Genomic DNA, 26,355 nt, shown 5'->3' with positions numbered 1-26,355 from the left:
AGGTTTTTAAACTGAAAATTTAGTTTCAAAGACTTAGTGTTGAAATATTAGAATTCTATAAGTAATATATAGCAGTTGTAGTCTCAGGGAGAAAATCTCATAATGATAAATATATTTAAACATTTCAAAATTTTTAAAAGCATGAGTTTTCTTCAAAATACTATTTTTTATTTATTATCAAAAATATTACTTTTAACTAAAAGGGATCAAGTAAATGGATATATATTATTTTTAAAAATTCTGCTAAGTAATATATCACCAATAGCCATTGATTGTTTTCTCACAATGTGGCTGAAAAAGTGTTCAAACCAGGAAGAGAGACATCTTGTTCTTCCATTTCTTTGTTATTATCTGCAGCTTCAATTATTAGTATTATCTTAACCTGAAGTTTCTTTGCAGGAAATATTTTTTAATGACTTGTGTATTTTAAGAGGATTAGTTTAGTTAAAATCAGCAATATAGCGTGCAAATCCATTTTACTAAACAAATCCACTAAACTGTCTCATGTCAACAGTGCCACCACGTGGTCAGCAAAGAATAGCATGATGTGTGTTTTTGTCATACACAGTGGCTTTCCTCTTCTGTTTACCATGGTCTTTTACTGTTTACTTCAGTTAAACATAAACATATTAACATACACACACACATCCTTTTAAACTCCATTTATTTTGTTTCAGTCTTATATTACTGATAAATGTTCCTTTTCCCTACTCCTTTTTCTCATGAACTTAAAAATTAATCATTTTTATAAGCACAAGGATAGTATTAGTCATTTGTCTGAAAACCTCCATGTTTTCTTTGTTTCTTTATTCTTTGTTTTTTTGTTGTTGTTGTTTTGAGACAGGGTCTTTCTCTGCAGCCTCCAGCTCCTGGGCTGAAGCAATCTCCCCACCCTAGCATCCAGAGTATCTGGGACTACAGGCCTGTGATACCACTTCTAATTTTTTTTTTTTTTTTTTTTTTTTTTTACTAGAGTCAAAGTGTTGCTATGCTGCCCATGCTGGTCTTTAACTCCTTGAGCTCAAGCCTCAGCCTCCCAAAGTGCTGGGATTACAGGTGTGAGCCACTGTGCCCAGCTGGAAGTATACAGTTTTATCTAAAATCAGACACAATGAGTGCCCGTATTCTCAAAAGCTTTTGTAAATGTTTAGACATCGTCAGAATTACTATTTTTTACTTAAACTTCTATCTATATATTCATCCTCTCTTAATTATATTTATTGGATTCAAGCATTTGGCTGGGCTCAGTGGCTCATGCCTGTAATCGTAGCACTTTGGGAGGCTGACAGGAGCAGAACACTTGAGGCCAGGAGTTTGAGACCAGCCTGGTTAACATGGTGAAACCTCATCTCCACTAAAAATACAAAAGTTAGCCGGGTGTGGTGGGGGTGCCTATAATCCCAGCTACTTGGGAGATTGAGGCATGAGAATCACTTGAACACCGGAGATAGAGGTTGCAGTGAGCTGAGATCATGCCACTGTACTCCAGCCTGGGTGACAGAGCAAGACTTTGTTTAAAAAAAAAAAAAATTAGCATTCAAAAGCAAGTTTTGACTTTATTTTTTATTCAATTTTAATGTTGCTTTATTTCAGGAGGTTCCAGTTCTTGGTAAGATGGGATAAGCACAGTCTACCCTGTCTCTTGCACTGACAGCTTTCACTGCAGCTATGAAACCTGGACAGAACATGCTAGCTGCATGGAACAGCTACCTGAGGACTCTGAAAAATAAATAGCAAGAAGATTGGGAAGGCACCCTAAATTTTAAAGTACCACCAAACCTGTGATGAATTTTTATTTTTTTCTTTTCTGGTATTCTCTAGCCTGAAACCCATAAAGGAGCACCAGAACACCCAGAGAGCTCCAGGGGAAACCCTTTTTTTGCCTCAAGGTGTGAAAGGCAAACTCCTAACATTCATGTAAGAGAGTGAGTAATTCCCTCCCTTTCTTTCATTCTTTCTGTTTTCTCACACCATGATCCCCAAGCAATTCCACAGCAGTGATGGCAGAGGCCTCCAATAGGGGCCCTGCTGGAGGGGGAGGGTCCTGGGGGATCTTCCTTTCTGATCAGTGGAGCTATAATTCCAAAGAGGTGAAGTGACTCTCCCTTAATTTTTATTTTTTCTTTATCCTCCCAGCAGTTAGCTCTGGATATGTGTAGCAGAGTGGGAAAACTAAAGCCTCCACTCTAGCAGAAGAAACCAAAAAGAGACTCCCATGGAACAAGTACCAGCAGATTGCAAACAGAGGGGATATCAAGAAAGAAACCCCATAAACTTGCTTATGAACTCCGTGGCTTACCTCAAATTTACGTATGCATGGGTCTGGCCCTAATCAACATACCAACAAGTTTAAGAACCAGACATGTAGATAGACATTGCCCAAGTCACAAGCCCACTCCTAAGTGAGGCACATATGAGACAGATATGATTCTAACTGTGAAGCCTTTAGAAATGAAACTGACATCAGAACTATAGCCCACTGGCTGGGTACTGTGGCTCACACTTGTAACCCCAACACTTTGGGAGGCCAAAGCAGGCAGATCACCTGAGGTCAGGAGTTCAAGGCCAGCTTGGCCAACATGGCAAAACTCCATCTCTACAAAAAAAGAAAAAAAAAAATTGCCAGGTGTGACAGTGCGATCCCTGTAATCTCAGCTACTTGGAAGGCTGAGGCAGGAGAATCGCTTGAACCCGGGAGGTAGAGGTTGCAGTGAGCTGAAAGAGCTTCACTACACTCCAGCCTGGGCAACAGAGTGAGACAGTCTTCAAAAAAAAGAACTACAGCCCACAGAAGCCAGGTTAAAATTTGTAGCCTGAACCTAACCAGGTCAGCTACCTGCTAAGACAAAAATATCTGTGTTTTCAGTAGGAGTTGAATAAGACCAAGAGTCTTATAACAGTCAAAATGTGCAGGACACAATGTAAAATTACTCAGCACATGAAGAAACAGGAACATCTCAATTTACATAAGAAAAAACACTCAACAGATAGCAACATCAAGATGACACAGTGTTATGGGCTGAATTGTGCCCCCCCAAAATTTGTATGTTGAAGTGCTAGTCACACAAAATTCAACTGTATTTAGAGATATGACCTTTGAAAAAGTAATTGAGTTAAAATGAGTCATTAGGGTGATCTCTAATCCAATATGGATAGTGTCCTTATAAAAACAGGAGATTAGAGGACCCACAAAAAGGGACACCAAGGATGCACCCACAAAGAAAAGACCATGTGAAGACACAGAGAGATGACAGCCACCTGCAAACCAACGAGACAGGTCCCAGGAGAAACAAAACCTGCTAACATTTTAAATTTCTGTTGTTTAAGCCACCATGTCAGTGGCCTTATAATATCAGTGTGTATTACTGTGCTTGGATTTTCCAACAAATCTCAAAGTAGCTTTTATATGAATGCCATAACAAGTAATAGTAAATATTCTTGAAACAACTGGGAAAATAGAAAATCTCAACAAAGAACTAAACGACATATAGAAAAATACGATTAAAATTTTAGAAATAAAAAATACAAATAAACACAAAATAAATAAATAAACTTACTAATTGAGCACAATAGCAGATTGGAAAAGAGAGAAAATTATTACTGAACCAAAAGGCAGATCAATAGAAAACATCCCATCCAAAGAACAAAGAGGAAAAAAAATTGAACAAAAATTAACAGAACCTCATGGAACTGTGGGGCAATAAAAAGGATCGAAAATTAAGATCACTGGAATCCCATAAAAAGAGAAAGAAGAGTATGGTGTTGAAAACATATTTAAAGAAACAATGACTAAAATCTTCCCAAGTTTAGCAAAAGATTAAAACTATAGGTCCAAGAAGTTAAGTAAAACTCAAACAGAATAAACGCCAAAAAAATCCACACCAAGGTAATCAAACTGCTGAAAACTAATGACAAAAAAATAAAGAAATAAAGCAGAGAGGCTGGGTGCAGTGGCTCACACCTGCAATTCCAGTGCTTTGGGAGGCCAAGGCAGGCAGATCACCTGAGGTCAGGAGTTAGAGACCAGCCTGGCCAACATGGTGAAACCCTGTCTCTACTAAAAATACAAAAATTAGTTGGTCATGGTGGCAGGTGCCTGTAATTCCAGCTACTCAGGAGGCTGAGGCAGGAGAATTGCTTGAACCCAGGAAGCAGAGGTTGCAGTGAACCAAGATCATGCCACTGTACTCCAGCCTGGGCAACAGCAGGAGACTCCATCTCAAAACAGAAAAACAGAAAAAAAAAAAAAAGAAAGAAAGAAAAGAATGAAAGCAGAGAGAAATAATGCATTATCTATGGGGGAACAACTTGAATGACAGATTTCTTATCAGAAACCTTAGAAGATAGAAAGCCTGGAGTTCTTACAAATAACACAGAAGCACAAACCATTTTTAAAACTGATTGACTGGGCTTTGTGGCTCACACCTGTAATCCCAGCACTTTGGGAGGCTAAGGTGGGAGGGTTGCTTGAGCCTAGGAGTTCAAGACCAACCTGGACAACATGGCAAGACCTAACCTCTACAGAAAACTTTTTAAAAATTAGCCTGTGATATGGTCTCGCTGTGTCCCTACCAAATCTCATCTTGAATTCCCACGTGTTGTGGGAGGAACCCAGTGGGAGGTAATTGAATCATGGGGGCAGGTCTTTCCTGTGCTGTTCTCATGATAGTAAGTATCACAGATCTGATGGTTAGTGTAAGGGGGAGTTTCCCTGCACAAGCTCTCTCTTCTCTTGTCTGCCACCATGTGAGACTTGCCTTTCACCTTCTGCCATGATTGTGAGGCCTCCCCAGCCACGTGGAACTGTAAGTCCCTTAAAACTCTTTGTTTTGTAAATTGTCCAGTCTCCGGTATGTCTTTATCAGCAACGAGAAAACAGAATAATATAGCCAGGCATGGTGGTGTGCACCTGTAAACTCAGCTACTCAGGAGGTTGAGGCAGGATGATGTCTTGAGCCCAGGAGTTGGAGGCAGCAGTGAACTGTGATCATAACACTGCACTCCAACTTGGGTGACAGAACAAGACCCAATCTCAGAAAATAAATAAATAAAACAAAATAATCTGGACTTCATTAAAATTAAAGTCTTTTGCTCTGTGAAAGACGTTATTAAGTGAAAAGACAAGCTATAGACTAGGAGAAAATATCTTCTAATTACATATCTGACAAAGAACTCATTATGTATATATAATGACCTCTCTAAACTCAATAGCAAGAAAACAAAAACCCAATTTGAAAATGGGCAAACAGACACTTGCTTACAGAAGATACGGGGATGGAAAACATGCATGTGGAAAGATGTTCTACATAATTAACCATTAGAAAAATGCAATTTAAAAGCATAAGATTCCACTACATATGTATTAGAATCGCTAAAATAAAAAATACTAGTAGAACTAAGTGCTAGTGAGGGTTTGGAGCAATTGAAACTCTTGCATATTGCTGATCGGAATGGAAAATGATATAGCCAGTTTCTAAATCAGCTTGGCAGTTTCTTATAAAGTTAAACATACAAGTATCATATGATACCATTTCTACTGCTGGGCATTTCCCCTTTGAGAAAGGAAAACTTGTACTCACTCAAAAATCTGTACATGAACGTTTATTGCAGCTCTATTTCCAATTGCCAAAAACTGGAAATAACTCCAACGTCCTTCTGAAACCAGCTTAAATGTCCCATAGAACTGACATTTGCAGCTTTTTGAATAAACATAGAAATTGACACTTCCAGTCTTAAAACTTGAAAATTAAATTTGTCTTATCATCTAAGTTTCTTCCTCAGAAAACCAGACCTCAAACAAGAAACTGAGGCACTGAAACTCACCATATCACTGCATCCAGACAATGAGATGCCAGACCCCTTATGTATCATGTTGTCATTGTTGTTGTTTTATTTTGTAGAGGTGGGGTCTCGTTGTGTCACCAGAGCTGGTCTTGAATTCCTGGCCTCAAGTGATCCTCTCACCTTGGCCTCTCAAAGTGTTAGCATTACAGGTGTGAGCCACTGCACTTGTTTCACATGATTCTCTTAGCCTTCCCTATTTCCTGTTTATCAACTTTCTTCCTTATTCCCCCTAATTCCTGTTTACCATCTCCTCTTCCTTATCCTTCCCTAATTCCTGTTTTCTCATATTTAACAACATTCCTTCTCCTACATAGAAACCCCTGATTTTAGCTGATTGGGGAGATGGACTTGAGACTCAACTCCCATATCCTTGGCTGCAGCACCCGAATAAAGCCTTCTTCCCTGGTAACACTCTTTGTCCCAGTGATTAGCTTTCTGTGCACTGAGAAATGAGACCTAGACAAACCCCTGGTATTTTAGTAATACTTCATTGGTAAGTGGAAAAACAAACTGTGGTATGTCCATACAATGGAATACAACACAACATTAAAAAAGAACGAACTGTTGATACATGAAACAATTTGGATATATCTGAAAGGAATTAGGCTAAGTGGGGGGAAAAAGCCAATCTCAAAAGTTTCCATTTTATATAACATTCTTGAAACGTCAAAATGATAGTGATGGAAAACAGATTGCCGGGGTTTAGAATGGGTGCAGGGCATGTGGCTGTAAAGAAGTATCAGGGTAGTTTTGGGAGTGCTGTAGTTGTTCTGTATCCTAGTTGTGAAAAGCATACATGTGTTAAGATTCATAGAATCATATACCAAAAAGTTAATTTTTCTGTACAGTAATTTAAGAAAATTAATAAATAAAAATATATTGTTCTGTTTTATACAATTATTTATTTGATAACATTATTACTTTTCCAAAAATTTGAATTGCCAGATATCAGGTACCCTGTTGGAGAAATGACCCTTTGGCAGCTTGCCTAGAAATCTAAATTTCAGGGGAAAAAAAAATGTATCTTCAGTTCCCATCATTACTTGACAGTGAAGGATGACTTAGATTGAGAAGTCAAAGAAGAAAGATGGGGGCCTAGCCCGGGCTAACATGAAGTAGGGTGGAGAAAGCTGTGTGCAAAGCCAAGCTGTAGAAACAGGCCCAGCCAAAGTGAGTGAGTGTTCTCCTTCCAAGAAGAAAGGAATAACTTCCTAAGAGGGAAAACACCAGGCCCAAAGGGAGTTTGAGCTTTTAATCAACAGCTTATTTACCTTAGAGGATCTTTAAAAACTATTTTTTGTTTTTGTTTTTTGAGATGGAGTCTTGCTGTATTGCCCAGGCTGGAGTGCAATGGCACAGTCTCGGCTCACTACAAGCTCTGCCTCCTGGATTCAAGCAATTCTCATCCCTCAGCCTCCCGAGTAGCTGGGATTACAGGTGCCCACCACCATGCTCAGCTAATTTTTGTATTTTTAGTAGAGACAGGGTTTCACCATGTTGGCCAGGCTGGCCTCGGACTCCTGACCTCAAGTGATCTGCCGGCTCAGCCTCCCAAAGTGCTTGAATTACAGGCATGAGCCACTGCACCCAGCCAAAAAACTGTTTTTTAAAAAAGGAAGAGATTGATCTTTTTAGTTACCAAATTTTTGTTCTACCACTCCATGATACTCCTCAGCATCAGTGGTTAAGAGGGTACCAGAGCAAGATGAAATAAATTCTAAAAACAGCACTTTTTTTTTTTACTACCAATGCAGATATAGATAGATAGATTGTACATACGGATTATATATACACAAATATTTGTACACGTATACATATATATATTTATATCCCCAAAATATATACTACTATATTTATAATAAAAGTTGACATTTATTAAGTGTTTGTCATGGCTTTAAAATATGCCTGTAAATTCTTTGACACTCTTCCACTCAAATAGTGGAACTAAATCCCTTCATTTTGAATGTGGGCTGATCTTAGTGACTTAGTGACTCACTTTCAACAAAAAGAATGTGGCAGAGTTGATGTTATGAGAAATCAGAGATTAGGTCATAAAAAGGACTCAGCAGCTGGGTGCGGTGGCTCATGCCTGTAATCCCAGCACTTTGGGAAGCCGAGGCAGGCGGATCATGAGGTCAGGAGATCGAGACCATCCTGGCTAACACAGTGAAACCCCGTCTCTACTAAAAAATACAAAAAAAATTAGCCGGGCGCCGTGGTGGGCGCCTGTAGTCCCAGCTACTCGGCAGGCTGAGGCAGGAGAATGGCGGGAACCCGGGAGGTGGAGCTTGCAGTGAACCGAGATCGCACCACTGCACTCCAGCCTGGGCGACAGAGCCAGATTCAGCATCTCTCTCTCTCTCTCTCTCTCTCTATCATTGCTCTGTCTGGGGTACAACAGCTGTCAAACCATGAGGACATCCATTCAGCCCCATGGAGAGGCCCACATGAAGAGAAATGAAGTCTACCACCAAAAACCAGCACCATGTGAGTGGGCCATGTGAGAGGGCCACCTTCAACGTGGATGCTCCAGCTGCCATCAAGCCTTCAAATACTTGTAGGTCCAGCCAATATCTCACTGCAAACTCATGAGAAACTCCAAGCCTAAACAGCCCATCAAAGCTACTCTTGAATTCCTGAGTCATGGAAACTGTGAAGGATAATAGATTATTACTGCTCTAAGCTACTAAGTTATGCAGCATCAGATAAATAAGTAACACAAAGGCTATATGCGTCAGGCTTCAAATACATTGTGAAATTTAGCTCTCATAAAGTAGCGCATCTCATTTTACAGATAAGCAGCCTGCTTCCTGGAAATATTGAAAAATTTACCACATGGTCATGGAGTTAATTCACGGCCATGCAGAAATTCAACCTCCAGACATGCCATATAGATCATGTGACTGGATGTCAGGCACTGGGAACACAGTCATGGGAACTTTGGGAGTCATGGGAGTGTTTATCAGAGGGAGAGGTTGCTGAGCAGGAGATGGGAAAACAACATCAAGTTCAGCTAGAAGAAATGAAAACGATAAATTAGCAAATTCAGTAGAAACTCTACATACAAATAAGGTTTAACTGGAAGGTAAGGAGTGAGATTCTAGGCGAAGAGAAAAGCAAAACAAGGTGAGAAAAAGACAAAAGTATGGAATGGTTTGTGTTCTTTTAATCACAAGCAAGCGGGTAACCAAGAACCCAATAGGAATGAGCCAAAGTGGAGTAAGTCATTTGTCAAAGCCATACTGCTCCTTTTCTATTACTGGTTACCCTGGTAATAGAACCCTCACTTTATGGTAATGAAATTTAAATGAGAATATCACATGCAAATGAAGTAACATGATTTTTTTTTGGGGGGGGTACTGATGTTCACATTTATCTAGTTAGCTCCACTTTTTCAGGAATTCTAGGTACAATTTGGGAGGAGTTTTGTTGCAGAAAAAGAATGATACCATGAAAGAGAAGATGAAGAATACGGCTTATTCTATTAGCTTGGCCACCCAGAAAGATCTTCTAGGTACCATTGATGTGTTTATTTTCCCCATAACCCTGGTAGGAGTCAGTGTTAAATAATGAATCTTGCAATTTTTCTTGTCTTGGCCCATTCTGACTTCATTGCTTAAAGGAACCCTATAAGTCAGGGCTGCAGCCGGGCCCTCGGTAAGGGGTCAGAGCCCTATATATGCTCACTGCTTGGACAGCTCTGCCTACTGTGGCCATTTCTGCATAGACATAGGCTGTCCAGAGAGACTGTATCAGTTTCCTAGGGCTGCTATAACAAACCATCACAAACTGGTTACCTTAAACCAACAGAAATTTATTATCGCGCAGTTCTGAAGGCTGGAAGTCCAAAACCAAGGTGTTGGCAAGGCCATGCTCTCTCTCTGAAGGCTCATGTGGGGAGATCCCTCCTTGGTTCTTCCTAGCTTCTGGTTGCTTGCTGGAAATCCTTGACAATCCTTGGCTTGCAACTGTTACGCTTCAATCTCTGTGTCCTGTGTCATACACCCATCTTCTCTTTGTGTGTCTACGTGCCTTCTTATAAGGATACCAGCCATATTAGATTACAGCCCACCCTAATGAGCTTATCTTAACTTCATTACATCTGCAAGGATCCTTTTAAAGAATAAGATCACATTCTGAAGTACTGGGGGCGAGAATTTCAAAATAAGAATATTTTGGAGGGTGTAATGGTTAATTTTATGTGTCAACTTGACTGGGTTAAGGGATGGCTAGATAGCTGGTAAAACATTATTTCTGAGTGTGTCTGTGAGGATGTTTCCAGAAGAGACTAGCATTTGAATCAGTAGGCTGAGTAAAAATATCCACTCTCACTAATGTGGGCAGGCATTATCCAATCCATTGAGTGCCTGAATAGAACAAAAAGGTGAAAGAAGGGTGAATTAGCTCTCTCTCTCTGAGGTGGGACATGTACATTCTTCTGCTCTTGAACAGTGGAGCTCCTAGCTCTCTGGCATTTGAGCTTGGATTTAATACCATCAGCTTTCCTGGTTTTCCAGCTTGCAGACAGCATATAGTGGGACTTCTTGGCTTCCATAATTGCATGAGCCAAATCATATATATATAGTAGAAGAGCCCAGAGTTAACAGAGATAGCAGAAATGGGCAAAAGAAGACATGACCCCAAAGCAAACCACTTGCAGTCCTCACAATGCCACAGTTAATCTAAGAGATAAGATGCTGGGCTAAAAGTGTGAAGACTTGGCTTTCCATTACTCTGCTGCAGACTGTGTGTGAGCTTTCTGTGTTGTCCCCCTGAGCACCTAGCAGTGACCTTCAAATGAGTGTCCTTTCAACACACAGTAGCTCATGGGTCACTTGTGCTTTGGCGAGCCATTCTCTCTGCTCAGCACTTTCATCAACACAAGAGACAACTACACCCTAGATAAGCTCTGGCTCCAAGATATATCTTCTAGGACCCCATAATCACATCTGCAACTCAACCTTCAGGGTAAAGAATGGGCAAAAGAAACATGTGAATACATTCACAAATACGTGGGGACAAGATAAATGTGTGAACATGTCCACAAATACTTGGGGGCAATCTGGAAATGGCATGAAACACTCCATGGCCCATCATTCAGTTTCATAATCATACCCAGCAGCCAACTACTTGGAGACAATCTGGAAATAGCACACATCACTCCTGGTCACATTCCACAGTCCAGAATTCAGATGCATGGACACGCCCCAGCAGGCAAGGAGGGTGAGAAATGAGGTTTCTAGCTGTGTAGCCATGTGTCCAGCTAAAAATCTGGATTTCTATTCTTTAAAAAAATCTATTATTTTAAGAAATTAAATTCTATTATTAAAAGGGGAGAATGGATTTTGGTGGAAAACTTGTCTTTCCCATACTCTGTACATATTTTGTTAAAATGTTAACTTTTCTCTTTGTGGTCATCCTGAAAACACTACTTTATAACATTTGCATAGTTTTCAGCCATGTAGTTGTATAAAAGTTTATATCATCATTTTCCTATTGTTGGACATTTATAATATTCATTTTTCACACTATAAGTATGCCTTAAAGAAGAAACACACTCATCTTTGTGCACGTCTCTGTTAATCTCCTTATGGGAATCTCTTAAAAGGTGTTTTTGAGAGTCCATGACCAGGTCTGTGATACAGGGACCACATTAGCCTGAAGAACTGCTGTTCCAGGTCTCTCTTTGAGAGAAGTGAAACTTTCATGGTCTTGGTGCATTCTGACCATCTTTCCAAGCCATTCTGCTTTGGCCAGTTCCTCTAGGCCCTTGGCTTGATATCAGAGGCAGGGTACTTGGGAGATAATATTTTTTTATAGCCAGATGTGATATTAGTGAAAGCATGCTGTTACTGGATGTTTCCAGAGGTTTGACCAGAGGGTTTGCCTTGAAATTTTGTCCCAAGCATCTCCAGGTTATGTGTATGTACAGTTTTTACTCATTAACTCTATTTGCACACCTATTTACAACTTGCAAGATACTTAACCACACATGATGTCATTGGCTGTATCCAACAGTGACTTTTCTAAAACACAAATCTGATACTACCAGTTTCATGACTTAAACCCTTTGAAATAGCCACACACCTGCAGATGAAAGTCCAAATGCATTAACATAATTCGTAAGTCTCCATGACTGCCATACCAATTAGCTTACTACTGCAAACAAACAAACACCCCACCACCCCCACCCCACACACAAAAGCTTCATGGATTAAAATAATAGCCTTTTATTTAGCTCATAATACCATAAATCAGCAATTTGGGCTGGGTTCAGTTGGGCAGTTCTTACGTTAAGCTCAGCTGGGCTCACTCGTGCATCCATGGTCAATTGCAGGTCAGCTAGGCAACTCTGTTTCTGAAAACAGCTGATTGTAGGCTAGGATGACCAAGAAACTGAGGCAAGTGTCTCTCACCATCCAGCAGGCTACCTTGGACTTACAAAAATGTCAGTGTCAGGTTGAAACAGTAGCAAGAAGCTCCCATGGGAAAGCATTTTTCTTTTCTTTTTCTTTTTTTTTTTTTTTTTTTGAGACAGTCTCGCTCTGTCACCCAGGCTGGAGTGCAGTAGCACGATCTCAGCTCACTGCAACCTCCACCTCCTGGGTTCAAGTGATTCTCCTGCCTCAGTCTCCCGAGTAGCTGGGACTACAGGCATGCACCACATGCCCAGCTAATTTTTGCATTTTTAGTAGAGACGGGGTTTCACCATGTTGGCCAGGATGGTCTCGATCTCTTGACCTCATGATCCACCTGTCTCGGCCTCCCAAAGTGCTAGGATTACAGGCATGAGCCACCGTGCCCGGCCTTCATTTTTTTTGGTCTTTTTTTTTGAGACAGAGTCTCACTCTGTTGCGCAGGCTGGAGTGCAATGGTGCCATCTTGGCTCACTGCAACCTCCACCTCCCGGGTTCAAGTGATTCTCCTGCCTCAGCCTCCTGAGTAGCTGGGACTGCAGGAGTGCACCACCACGCCTGGCTAATTTTTGTATTTTCAGTAGAAATGGGGTTTCGCCATGTTGGCCAGGCTGGTCTTGAACCCCTGACCTCAGGTGATCTGCCTGCCTCAGCCTCCCAAACTGCTGGGATTACAGGCGTGAGTCACCGCACCCGGCCTGCAAGCATTTTCCAAGTGTCCTCTTGCATTATGTTTGCTAATTTCTCAATGGCCAGAGCAAGTCCTGTAGCCAACTCAGATTGAAGGGATGAAACAAGAAAGCAGACTTTCCCTGATGAGGAAAGGGAAAAAAAAATTGTGGCTATTTTTGCCATCTACAATGACTTCTTTCTCCAGTAGCATCTCCTTGTGTCTCCACCTTCACCTCCAACACTCTGCTCCAACTAAACAGAACTGCTTACAGCTCCCCTACCCTATCTTGTTCTTTCAGGCCTCCAGGCTTTTGCCCATTCTAAAGCCTTGCCTGCCAGGTTTCTATCACTATTCAGCTCCAAGTAAGGACCATTCTAGACATCCCTTCCTCCAGGAAGCCTTGCTTCTCTCACCTCTAGCAGGGCTGGTATTCCTCCTCTGTGTTCTTTTCCTTCCCCTTATAGCCCATACCATGCTCTATTACAAATATCTGTTTTCTTGTCAATTTTTCCAAAAAGACAGTAAGGTTCTTGAGAGCAATACTTGTTTCCTATTGCGTACTTGGTACCTAGTGCCATACAATAAGAGCAAATAGCTATTTGTTGGTCAACTGAAGAACTGCGCATGAGGGAGTGAAAGAAACAGAGGTAAGAAAACCTTTTGCAAATCAACAGGCACCACATACATCACAGTAATGGAAACTTAGAGTGAGAAGGAACTTTTTATCTTATCCATGCATAATTCCTTGGAAGAACATGGTTAAAAATTTCCTCTCAGTTCATTAGTCACAGCTGTAGATACGGAAAACAACTCATGCCCTCATAGAGCTCATTCTATTTCCAAACTCTTTTTAGGCTTAATACTCTCTTCACTGAACCCAAATCTTCCCAGTAACTTACACCTATCCCAAGACCTGCTGTCTGGAGCCTCGACGTTAAAGTGCAATCCTTTTTCTTCACACATCAGACCTTCTCACACCAAATCTAACACCTATCCCTCTTAGCGAGTGTCTTCACAGCCCTCACCACCCCGGTGGCCTTCTTATGGCCACACCCAATGTGTCTTGGTTTCTCTTGGAAATAAGATCGGGAGCTGGACAGGATACTTCCTCAGGGTTGAGAGATGAGCTTCTCAGTAAACTAGTAGTCAAGACTCTAATGGCACCAGCGAAGCTTACTGCTGAGAATTGCAGCTCCCACTGAAATGGAACCCAGCCATGAATCACACCATTAATATAACTTTTCTAAAAAGGTTAAACTCTACACAGGCATTAATATGAGGAAAATTCTACCTGAGTCTTTTTACCTGTTCTTATCATTTGTATCCAAGTCAAGGCCCCCCAAAAGCTCAACACTGCTAGATTTCAAATACGTCTAGCAAAAAATAGCAAGAGATACTGAGGTGTATTTCATCATGAATAGACCATACACTTTGGAATAAACCAAAACTGCATTGGAGAGCTAGTTCTGAAACGTACTAAGCATGTGCATTAGGAAAGGAGCTAACCTCTTTAGGGCAGGCAGTTCCTCATCAGCCTCCAGAGCTACTGTTAAGACTACATGGGTCTAACTCGAGCTGACACTTAAATTTCAAGCTTGTCATGTGTCAAGCTAAGTACTTATACAATGCTATCCATTTTAACATGCACCTACCTTTATGAAGAAAATTCCATTAATATGCATACGTTATATTATATAAGAGGACACGGAGGCTCTGAATTTTGAAGTTATTTGCTCAACATCACAGAGCTAGCAGGTAGCAACGCTCCGAATTTTGAAGTTATTTGCCCAACATCATAGAACTAGCAAGTAGCAACGCTGGGCCATGAACCCAAGTCTCTAGCTCCAGACCATGGGCACCCGGTGAACCCTCTAGAAAAGTTGGTGCTTACATTCCTACCTTGAAAATTAGAGACACGAGTTATTCCTAAATCACCCATGTTACTAAATGGTGACTAATGTGAGCTGCCACGGTTCCGTGGCCACAGGGCTTACACAGTCACTGTGATCTGTAGTAAAGGCCTCGCAAGAATACTGGGCCCAGTACAACACTGCCAAGCTCTCGGGGATTAGCAGTGCTGCCCAATTTTGCTGCTATATTAGCTCACTTTCCCAGAGATACATTAGAAAGCAGGAAATTAAAAAAAAAAAAAGAAAAGAAACAAAGAAAGAAAAGAAGAAGAAAACCTACCCCAATGTGTTATTTTGCTAACAGCCTTAACTTTGCAATAAATAAAGACTGCAAATGGGAAGAAAATGCATAAAATGAAAATAAGCTGAGTGAATCATGGCACGTGGTTTGTAGAGTATATAAATATTCATGTTAAATTACCTTTTCCTCCAACTCCATGGTTCTCCTGTGTGCACTTAGGGCTGACTGGTTTCGGTAGGCCTTAGTTACCTACACAAACGCGGTGACTTTTGTGAGAGCCTGAGGAGTAAATAATGACTATTAGCACAGGCCTGAATAATGTCTAATCCCACTGAAAGCCCCCGGACGCTCAAGCACCCCTCTCCATTTGGCAAGGGAACAGTAATCCATCTCTTGGTCTTTCCTAGTCAACGGAAACTGAGCTGAGGGAGAAAAGAGAGGAGAAAATCCTTAATCTTAGCAACCGTGAGCTCTGGTATTTTAGCTGTGGAGCTTAAAGGGGAAAAAAAAAAAGCCTTGTTGAAAAGTTCAACTCTAGGTAACCAGGTTCTGAAAGCCTCTTTTGTATGACTGGGGAGGTGGGTTGTGTGGACAAGGAGGAACGAGGGTCACTCCAGGGTTGCTTGCCTGCCTGGCAGCAAGATCGTTCCCTTCCTGTTGAGGAGGAACAGGGCAGGGTTGCTAAGGACGGTCACAGCTCACAGCTCCACTGCATGGGAAGGCCGAAAGATAGGAGCTTGCCCGAGGCTTAGCTGGCTCGAGGGGCCAACATTCCTTCCCTGATTCTGCTCTGGCCTCCCAGTGACCTTGGGTTAAACTGCAGTCAAGTCCGTTGCTGGTAACATTTATCTCACTCCTCTGTGCAACCCTCAGCCGCTTCCCACCCAACGCAACATTCTAAATGTGAGTTATTGGAATTTCCTTACATCAGCGCAGAGAGATGTGCTGGCATCTTACTCCCCAACAGATCCCAGTTTATCTCTACCTAGGAAAAGGAACATCAGCATGTGTGTAGTGTGGTGTGCATGTGATTGTATGTTCTATCTGTGGTGAAGTAATTTTCCACATGTAAAAAGGATCCTATATAAACTGTCTTATATATAACAGCAAGATGACTAAGTGTTAAGCCTGGCTTTCTCTTATACCTCTTCAAATTTGTTAAAATGCCATTTTCTTCAAATAAGAATATATAGTTCATAAAGCTAAAAGTTTCTAAGTATAGCTTTGCATGTTTATTTCAGCTAATCCAATAAGCACTTCTTGAAGACACACTATGAGGCAGGTATTGCACCAACATAACTAGTGTGGAGGGAAAAGAAACACAGACTCTTGAGGCAGACCAGGTTCAAAGCCTGGCTATGCTACCTGCACCTTTGAGACCTTAGGTAAAAAGCTAAAACTTTTTTCTTCTTCTTTTTGAAAAAAGGTCTCACTCTGTTGCCCAGCCTGGAGTGCAGTGGTGCAATCTCGGCTCACTGCAACCTCCGCCTCCCAGGCTCAAGTGATTCTCCAACCTCAGCCTCACAAGTAGCTGGGACTACAGGCGTGCACCACCATGCCCAGACAGTTTTTCTATTTTTATAAAGATGGGGTTTCACCATGTTGCCCAGGCTAAAAGCTAAAACTTTGGATGCCTCAGTTTCTGTATCCTTAAAGTGGAGGTAACAGTACAGATGTGAGGATTCAATGAGATGGCAGGTATAGAAAGCATAGTGACACAGTGTCTGGCACCCAGAAGCTCTATACATGTGTCTGCTCAGATGCTACCTGCAGAGAGGGCTCAGCCTAACTGGGAGCCTGTGGGCAGATATGAACACAGCTCTACAGAATGATAGACAAAGGAGAAATGAGAGGGAGGATTTGATGGCAACAGACAGACAGGTGGGAAGGCAGCTTTTCAGAGAGAGGATCAGCAGGAGCCATGCACGGAGCAGGGAACCTAAAGGACATTTTCAGAGATGTGCTTTGCCATGGCACTTGAGTGTAGAAGAATTGGGAACGATTTCTATTTTCTGTTGGTGTTGATTTAATAAATCAGAGAATCCTGTGAACTATCTCTGGCTCCCTATTATGGGTGCATTAATGGATGCTTTTAAAATAAAGTAAAATAAAATAAAAGGGATTTCAAGAGGAAGAGCCATTTATTGAGCATCCACTAGCCTTTTGCATAAGTAATTTTCTTTTTCTTATCTCATCATAACAAACAGGGAAACTGAAGATCAAAGAGATGACGCAGCTTATCCAAGTTCATACCAATAAGAGGCGGGACTGGGTGGTAACCCCATCTGGACTAATGGGACCAAAGGCTGTGCTTCTCTGCTTTGCCGTAGCTGCCTGCCACTGAAAGATTTCAACTCAATATGTTCCCTGCCCTCTCTTCTCCAGCCATTTTCTTCTGTGTCGCTCGCCTTGAGGCCCATGGGTTTATCTATCTGAAGCATCTCTCTTCCTCCCATTCTTTCTGCTCTCCTGACCCTCTTTTTTTTCCCCATGGCAGTCCAGACAGCCTCCCAGCCCAGAAAATAGATACAGGCAGTAGGAAGGCAAGCTACCTTCTTCATGCAAAAAGACCCACATGTCTTGTGTCATTTTTAATCAGTGGAATATTTTGTGAAGTAAGGCTGACAATTTACAGAAATCCAGGTAATAGGACTTGTTCATGGTCACACAGAAAGTAAAGGGCAGAAAGATAACCATGTGGAAAGTCTGTTAATACCAAGGTCAGGAGTGGACCTGTTTCTAAAATATCAGCCCCCATGGTGCTAACAACTCATGTCTACATCCCACACACACCTGCATCTTGGCACTTTGAGGCCCCATTTCCTGTCCCTCCTATAATCCAAAGAACGCTTACTCTTTTGAGAATGCTTACATTGGTGAATAGTAGCTTAAAGGACATTTTCTTCATAACAGCATGTTCACATGCTAACAGGAAAGACAAGAAAAGATGGTACAGGTGAAAGACGTGGAAAAGAGTGGAAGAAATAAATATTTGAGCATTTCTCAAGGGAGGAGAAATAAACTTAATTTTCTTTCTTTATTTTTTGAGACAGGGTCTCACTCTGTTGCCCAGGCTGGAGTGCAGTGGCCCAATCACAGCTCACTGCAGCCTCGACCTCCCAAGGCTCGGGTGTTCCTCCCACCTCAGCCCCCGAGTAGCTGGGACTTCACGTGCGCGCCACCACACCCAGCTAATTTTTCTAATTTTTGTGGTGTTTTTTTTTTTTGTTCGTAGAGACAGGGTTTTGCCTTGTTGCCCAGGTGGTCTCAAACTCCTGAGTTCAAACGATCCACCCACCTCAGCCTCCCAAAGTGGCAGAGATTACAGGCATGAGCCACCACACCCGGCCGCAAACCTAATTTTATTTTGATACCAAAAGAAGCACAGACTTGTCATTACCTGGGCTTGTGTGGGGGCCACATGTACGGCCCTCTGTTGTTCCAGTTAAGTCCTGCTTCATGTCCTTAACCCTAAAGCATTGACAACTCACTTAGATCCAGCAAACAGCAATGCTAAGTCATAGCTAACTTTCATTAAATACTTGGTGACAGGAAATGTGCTAAGCCCTTAATGTCATTACATTATTTAATCAGCTCAGCAAGGCTGTGAGTTGGTTTGTGCTGGATGTCTTCCACTTGCCCTCCACAGCCATTTCCACCCTTTTCTATTTGTCTCACTCTACCCTGGGAGGCTGCTCTGTACAGACTGTATCACCTGCTCCCATGCCCTCTGGCTTTGTGTTGGGTTTGACCAGCAGGGAGCTTCAGGAGAGCAGGATTTTGGAGAAAGAAAGTAAAATAAGGTCAGATTTCCCCTCTGTAAGGTCATTTCTGATAAAAGCCATGGCTTTTCTCAAAGAGGGCTTTTCTAAGTACCTCTTGTCCTCTCTGGGTTCCTGTAATTTCCATCTCCCCTCTTAGATATTGGCTTAGAGAAAGCCAACAGATCTGCTGCTCTAACCCTGGGTATCTCACTGTCTTTCGTGGTTTTCTCAACCACTTCTACACATTTATAATTTGTTCCTATTTCCTATTGGGATCCTGATATATAGGTACTATTATTATACCCATTTTATAGGCAATTCAGGGAAATAAAGCAACTTGTGTAAGGCCCCACAGCTAGTTAGCAGCAAAGCTGGATTTCAAAGCCAGATTTGTCAAAATCCAGAGCTCAAGTTCTTAGCTGCTACACTGAGCAGCAAAAAACAGTTCTGGACAAGGCAGACAAGCTGGGAGGCCTGGGAGCTGCATCCTTGAGGGACTCCTCGTGGAAAAGTGCAGTGGGCAGAACTAAACGGTGTGGGTGGTTTGCTGCCACTGTCAATGCCCACCTGTCAACCTCTTTATAAGGCAGATGGAAGGAGAGGAGGGAAGACGGGCATTTTCATTGAACCTGCTGCCCTGTCATCCTGGAGTCAGCCTGTATTGTTGGGACAGAACATCTGCTGGTACCAAGAGGCTGTGAGGAGCTGTCAGATCTCACCCACATTCAAATCCTGTTTGGAAATGCATTCCAAGGCCCCAGAGGCATTTCTCTAATTGCCCTGGCTGAGTCTAGAGGTGATGCCATTGAGACAGAGCCTTACTTAAAACAACCAAACATAGCAAGGGCAGACAGTGGTTGACTTTAGTTCAAAAGAAAAATCCGGGATACTTAAGTTCCCCAAATATCTATTTTTTTTCACAAGACACCAAGAGAATCCACAGCAAGAAATAAATAACAATGTGGCTTGCATCTGAGCTAGACTGACCTCTGCATATTGGCTTTTGACTTCCACTTTGGGAAGCTGAATGATCTTTATTTAATGCTGGGACACTGAAGCTTCTTCCACAGTGAGAAATTTATCATCTCAGGCTTCAGATTAATTGAAAGAGAATATTTTAGCTAAAATAGTTACATACATTTCCATAAATGATTTTCCTGTAAAATAGGAAGAGGTCTACTTCCTCTGCTTAAAGCAAAACAGATTTTAGGCAAGGCCTTTCCACAGTGCCTTCTTCCAAACAGTTCTATTACCTCTTGTCTCTTTCTTAGAGCTCACTGCACTGAATTACGTTTACAGGTTGTCCCCTGCACTAGAAAGTAAGGTACTTGTAGGTGGATCATGTGTCTCTTTCATCCCCACGTCCCTGGCCCAGCACACAGCAGTCAATATATATTGCGGGATGAACAGACACATGGATGTCCCCAGAGGACCCTGGGAGAGCTGCCATCAAGAGAGTGCATTATGCAATTATATGTTGACTCAAAGACAGACTACATATTTCATTTAATTTAAAAAAACCCCATATTTGAAACATCATAACTGCTCAAAATATGTGTTGGAGGAAATTGGAAACAGAGGATGTAGCAAAATAAATAAATAAATAAATAAATAGAGCTTCATTAACTATTGCCCTTTTGTCTTCCTGTATTGCTTGGAGATACTTTGGCAGCAATTTGGGTTGGTATTAGAGGATAATAACCACCGTATGCTTCAGTTATTCTAAGAAGAGCTGCATTCCACAATAGAGTTGCCCCATGCAGAAGACAATGGAGAAGGGGCTGTTAAGCAAGATGCTGGTTGAACCAATCACAGGTCCAGCAACTTCTTCCATCCCCGAAGTCAACTTTTGATCAACCTTAAGATTTCAGCTCAAGTGCTCTTTCCTCTAGGAACTTTCCTTGACCCTCCAAGAGAGGCCAAGTTTTCCTTCCTTCCGAGCACTTTACTCCAATTGTAATTACATATTCATTAGTGTGACTCTTTGGCGAATGCCTGACTCTCTCGAAAGTTCCATTTATCAGTTCCATTTATCTGCTGTGTTCATTATTCCATTCCTAGGGCCAAGTATGACGTCATAGAGTCAGGTGTTCTGTAAATCAGTGTTGAATGAATAAATTAGTGATGAATGAATGAACAAATTTTCAGTCTCTGCTAAATCACACTGAGTCACATCCTCATTCTTGGTCCATTGTTCTTCCCCTAATACCAGCCATTTTAAGTGGATGGGGTTTGTGTGTGTGTGTGTGTGTGTGTGTGTGTGTATTGTTGTTCTGTTTTTTTTCCCATGAAGCAATCATTCTCATTCCACCCCCACATTGTTTCCATGGGCACTAGACATAAAGGTTGACCTATCCCACATCCTGGCCACCTCATAAAAGAAAACCATAAACACTAAACTGACAATTTTTAAATGTACTTTTTGTAGAAAACCTCTTTTAATAATCTACATCCAAAAAATGATGGTATATCCATACACTAGGATATTAATGATTTTTTTAAATGAGCTAGCAAGCCAGAAAGACATGAAGGAGCCTTAAATTGCTAAGTGAAAGAAGCCAGTGTGAAAAGTCTACATGCTAAGTAATTGCAATTATATAATACTGCAGAAAAGGCAAAACTGATTGCTCCTAGAGGCCCAGCCTCTGTGGCTCCATTGTGGCTCCATTACCAGCAGGTATTGGGAGATCCACAGCTAAGATGCCAGGACCCCCTGGAAGCCTAGAAATGGAACCATCGACATTTATGGACATAGAATTTTCTCTGGAGGAGTGGCAATACCTGGACACTGCACAGCGGAATTTATACGGAAATGCGACGTTAATGGACTACAGAAACCTGGTCTTCCTGGGTATTGCTGTCTCTAAGCCAGACCTGATCACTTGACTGGAGCCAAAAAAAAAAGAGCCCTGGAATATGAAGGGACATGAGATGGTAGCCAAAGCCCCACCGGGTGGGAGCAAAAGTGAATACAACAGACAACACAGATGAGAAGTCCAAAGGTCAAGGAGAAAGCCAGTCCTTAAAATGTGATTTGGGAAGCTGTGTTCCAAAGAAAATAATGTCCGGGAAGCCTGAGTTTTTTTATTTTGCTTTCTCATAGGGCATCTTCTGTCTTATGCTTTTAAATTCTCTAAGAATTCTACTTTCCCTTTGGTGATCTTCTTTCAAGTTTACGGTGAGAGCCAAAAATCCTCCTCATGGTAGATAAGAGACTGCACAATCTGACTGCTTTTCCGTTGTTTTGGGAAACACACAAATATCTGCATACTTTTGAGAAACTCTAGGTTGAACTATTTTTTACATTCTCTTTTTGCATCATGTCTGAAATGTGTCAGTAGTGGTTTCTGTTCCATTGGTTTTTTTGTATATTTTTTGCACATTCCATCCTGTTTGCATTACCATAGTCTTTAAATATAGTTTGAAATTATAAAGTTAAAAAAATAAATAAATAAAAGGCAAAACTATGGAGACGGAAAGAAATCAGTGGTTGCCAGGAGCTGATAGAGAAGGAGGAAGGGGTAAATAGGCCAAGCATAGGACATTTTTAAGGCAGTAAAACTATTCTGTATGATACTGTGATGATGGATACATAGCTTTATGTGTTTGTCAAAACTCAGAGAATGTACATCAAGAGCAAATACTAATGTAAACTATAAACTCTTGTGTTTTTCTGGGTTTTTTTGTTTTGTTTGTTTGTTTTGTTTTGTTTTTGAGATGGAGTCTCACCCTGTCACCCAGACTGGAGGGTAGTGGCCAAAAATCTCAGCTCACTGCAACCTCTGCCTCCCAGGTTCAAGGATGCCGGGCTGGGCATGGTGGCTTACGCCTGTAATCCCAGCACTTTGGGAGGCCGAGGCGGGTGGATCACCTGAGGCCAGAAGTTCAACACTAGCAAGGCCAGCATGGCAAAACCTGTCTTTACTAAAAATACAAAAATTAGCTGGATGTGGTAGCGCATGCCTGTAGTCCCAGTTACTTGGGAGGCTGAGGCACAAGAATCACTTGAACCCATCCTTGCTCCCAGAGCTCCCAAGATGGTGGCGGCTGCTCCCAAGATGGCAGCAAGTCTCTTGTTCTCTGACCTGGGGTTCTTGGCCTCATGGATTCCAAGGAATGGAACCTTGGGCCATGTGGTGAGTGTTATAGCTTTATTAGAAGCCATGGGTCACGGAAGAGAACCGTGGAATCCAGTGACTAGTGTTCAGCTCAATTAGGACAAACCCGGGCACTTAGCCATGCAGGAACAATGGCTAGCCTTTAGCCCAAACGGGAGTGGCAATGGGCACCTCGCTGGATCAGAAACACAGTGGACACCCTGCCAGATCCGGAGGGGTGGAAGTCAGCAGCGGGTCTGTGACGGTGGCAAACAGCAGTGGTGGACAGAGAGCAAAAGCTCAGCTCAAGCCATAACAAACCGGGACCAGAAGAGTGTGCAGTTGCAAGATTTAATTGAGTGAAGACAGAGCTCCCATACAAAGGGAGGGGACCCAAAGAGGGTAGCCGCTGCTGGCTCGAATGCCTGGGTTTATATCCTGATCATTGTTCCGCCTGCTATGCTCTCAGGCAATAGATGATTGGCTATTTCTTTACCTCCCATTTTTGCCTAATTAGCATTTTAGTGAGGTCTCTTTACTACCTGATTGGTCAGGTGTGAGCTAAGTTGCAAGCCCCGTGTATAAAGATGGATGCAGTCACCTGCCCAGCTAGGCTTAGGGCCTAGGAAATCCAGCTAGTCCTGTCTCTCAGAGGGATGCCAGGCTGGGCGTGGTGGCTCATGCCTGTAATCCCAGCATATTGGGAAGCCGAGGCGGGGGGATCACCTGAGGCTGGAAGTTCAAGACTAGCAAAGGCCAACATGGCAAAACCCCATCTTTACTGAAAATACAAAAATTAGCTGGATGTGGTAGTGCATGCCTATAGTCCCAGCTACTTGGGGGGCTGAGGCACAAGAATCACTTGAACCTGGAGGCAGAGGTTGCAGTGAGCCAAGGTAGTGCCACTGCACTCCAGCCTGGGTGACAAAGCAAGACTCCGTCTCAGAAAAAAAAAAAAAAACACAGGGATGCCAGTTGAAGTAGGAGTGCTGTCCTAATCCACCCACTTTTGCACCCACAGACACATCTCAGATCCCACTTTCCTCTTCCCAGGTCCCCAAGATACCACTGAGGACCAGTGGGGATGCAAGCCCCAGTTGTGCAGGGAGGAGGAAGCCAGAATTCTGAATTGGGAATAGGTGAAGTCAGATTGCCTTAATCTTCCAAAGTCACAGAAGACCCCTCAGGCATCCTGCTGATAAACACACCCTAATTGTCACCAAAGAACCCAAGAAGAACTCACTAACCCCTTGAAGGCAAACCACAGCCTGTTCACTAACAGTGGCGGCCCCACAATTACTGGCAAGTGTTTGCTGGGCAGAAGGGTGCCAGTGAAATGCTGCAGGGCACCAAGTCAGAGAAGAGCCAGCTCCACCAATTAAGGGTATGCTTCTGAGCAGTCGCTGTGTCTAGGAGAGTTTCTGAAATAAGCCCAGGCATGCCAGCACAGGCCCCTGGGAAGAGACAGCAAGCAGCCTCTCTCTGGCAGCAGGGAGCCAAGAGGTACCTCATCGCCATGGCTACCTCTCAGAGCTTGCCTCAAAGCCTTTCAGGAATCTCTGCTATTTATGGAATTGGATCGCATACCCCAAGGCCAGCATTCCTTCACTCTCAGGCACTCTCTCTTTACTTTCCTTCATCCCAGTTAAATTAAGGCAAGGGTGGGCCCTGACACTGCCCGTGATTGATGGGGAACCTCAATGAGATGCAGCAGAAAGGCCTCTATCAGAGGCCCTGTGGCCGAGGCCATCCCAGACATTTCTGCTTGCCACAAATCCCACATATCCACAGAGCACAAGGTGGAACATCCTTCGCATGCTCTTAAACTTCTAACAGCTTTGGAGGAAGAAATAAACCCTCCCTGATGTGACTGATGTGCCAGTTCAGGCCTTGATGGATGTGCCAATTAATGCCAATTAATGCCTTTTTCCTTTCTGTCTTCCCAGCACAGTTTCAGGAAAGGGAGAATGAGACAAGAACACAATCACTATTGTATATTTGGCCACAAAGAACACCCAGCTAGGTTTCCCGTTGGGGCCAGCATCAGATGCTAGTCTGCATCTTTTTCCAAAATAAATAAATAAATAACTCAAATGTGTAGCTTTGTTTAATAAGGTAACGTTTTGGAAAATGATAGAAACTGAATTTAAACTAGCTTCAATTCTTTTTAAAACCAGATCCTTTCAACCAACTAACAAAACAAAAACCTCCAGAAATACAGTCTGTAACGTTTCCTGTTCAAATGGTCCCTAACTCCATCTGTCGGTCTTGTCTGGCCAGTATGTCTTTGTTATTCCAGGGCACCACCTCATTTTTAGGATGGTGGCTCCAAAACTGCTCCTTCTACAACCCCATCCAAACGTGTAGTTACAGTGGAAATTGGTGATAATAGTATCCCGATTACTTAGCCTCAGGACAGGCGTCAGAACGTGTCAGGCTAGTCAGTGTGCTTCCCAGCACCTGAGTCGGAAGCTGAGAAAGTGATTTCTAGAGCAAAGGGCAGCTGTGGTTCCTACCCTGGGGAAAGGGGTGTATCTAAAGGAATGAAGAGGACTTGCAGAGAAAAGCAATGACAAGGAGATCCCTGTAGACATTCAAGTCATTGGTTTGAGGCTTATGTGGTGGTTTGGTAGAATAATGGTCCCCAAGAAAGTAGGTCTCCTTGTAAATGCCCCCTTGCATAGTCCCCTCCCACGTCGATTCTGGGCTTGGCCATGTGGCTTGCTTGGGCCAGTGGGACATCAGCAAATATGATGCAAGTAGAGGCTTGAAAAGCACTTAGGCATTGAAACTTACCTTTTCTCTTGCTGCTGTTCGAACCTCTTCACCACATGAAGAAGCCCGGGCTAGCCTGCTGGAACAGGTGACCCAGCCAATACCCAGCACCAAGTGCCAGACGTCAATGGACCATGGCCAGTAAGAGCATCATAGACCATTCAGCCTCAGTTAAGCCACATGGAAGACACCAGGAGAGCCCAGAAGAAGAACCATCAAACTGAGCTTCACCGAAATGACCCACAGAGTTATGAGCAAATAAAATGGTGGCAGCTTATCCATCAAGTTTTGGAGTCATTCGTCACTCAATAATAGGAGACCTTTCTGCCATCATGTGAAGAAGGTGACTATAGGAGAAGAAACCATGTAGAAAGAAAGGCCCAGATATTCTAACCACTCCACCTATCCCCACCATCTGGCTGAAGTCACAGATATAACACAAAGCCCAGTTGACCCTGAAGGGAGCAGAAATAAGTCTCCCAGATGAGTCCAGTCCAAGCTGCCAATCCACACTTTCATAAACAAATTGATGTTTGTTTAAACTTGGAAGTGTAAAAAGTCACCACATTTGGAATGGCTTGTTATGCAGGAAAAGCTAACTCAAATCACTTTCTTAAAGCCATCCATTCTTGTCT

At 42.5% G+C, this 26,355-nt stretch overlaps 1 long non-coding RNA gene and 1 pseudogene across 8 annotated transcripts in view, besides 3 other annotated features; one reads left to right on the top strand and one right to left on the bottom strand.

The window, feature by feature from the left end:
* LOC105375751 (uncharacterized) overlaps window positions 1–26,355 on the bottom strand; it is a 463,156-nt gene that overhangs the window by 416,477 nt on the left and 20,324 nt on the right. For 6 of the 8 annotated variants that reach the window (NR_188069.1, NR_188071.1, NR_188072.1 and 3 more), the window contains exon 2: window positions 15,265–15,363. This is a non-coding gene — a long non-coding RNA (uncharacterized LOC105375751). Of the gene's footprint in view, window positions 1–9,637; window positions 10,212–12,058; window positions 12,282–15,264; window positions 15,364–26,355 lie in introns of those variants that run through there. The other 2 variants (NR_188075.1, NR_188076.1) reach the window with 2 other exon arrangements.
* LOC124902019 (zinc finger protein 724-like) lies at window positions 21,576–21,848 on the top strand (annotated as a pseudogene).
* Window positions 22,723–23,529: an enhancer, noted in NCBI's record as "H3K27ac-H3K4me1 hESC enhancer chr8:127593271-127594077 (GRCh37/hg19 assembly coordinates)". NCBI's record gives its function as "activates a minimal SCP1, AML or CMV promoter by ChIP-STARR-seq in naive H9 embryonic stem cells {active_cell/tissue: H9 hESC(naive)}" and the evidence as "EXISTENCE:reporter gene assay evidence [ECO:0000049][PMID:30033119]".
* Window positions 23,530–24,337: an enhancer, noted in NCBI's record as "NANOG-H3K27ac-H3K4me1 hESC enhancer chr8:127592463-127593270 (GRCh37/hg19 assembly coordinates)". NCBI's record gives its function as "activates a minimal SCP1, AML or CMV promoter by ChIP-STARR-seq in naive and primed H9 embryonic stem cells {active_cell/tissue: H9 hESC(naive and primed)}" and the evidence as "EXISTENCE:reporter gene assay evidence [ECO:0000049][PMID:30033119]".
* Window positions 24,338–25,145: an enhancer, noted in NCBI's record as "NANOG-H3K27ac-H3K4me1 hESC enhancer chr8:127591655-127592462 (GRCh37/hg19 assembly coordinates)". NCBI's record gives its function as "activates a minimal SCP1, AML or CMV promoter by ChIP-STARR-seq in naive and primed H9 embryonic stem cells {active_cell/tissue: H9 hESC(naive and primed)}" and the evidence as "EXISTENCE:reporter gene assay evidence [ECO:0000049][PMID:30033119]".

Source organism: Homo sapiens, chromosome 8 (genome assembly GCF_000001405.40).
Source record: "Homo sapiens chromosome 8, GRCh38.p14 Primary Assembly".
Taxonomy (NCBI): Eukaryota; Metazoa; Chordata; class Mammalia; order Primates; family Hominidae; genus Homo; species Homo sapiens.
The sequence above is the reverse complement of the archived record's forward strand: the minus strand, read 5'-3'. Positions and strand labels throughout refer to the sequence as shown.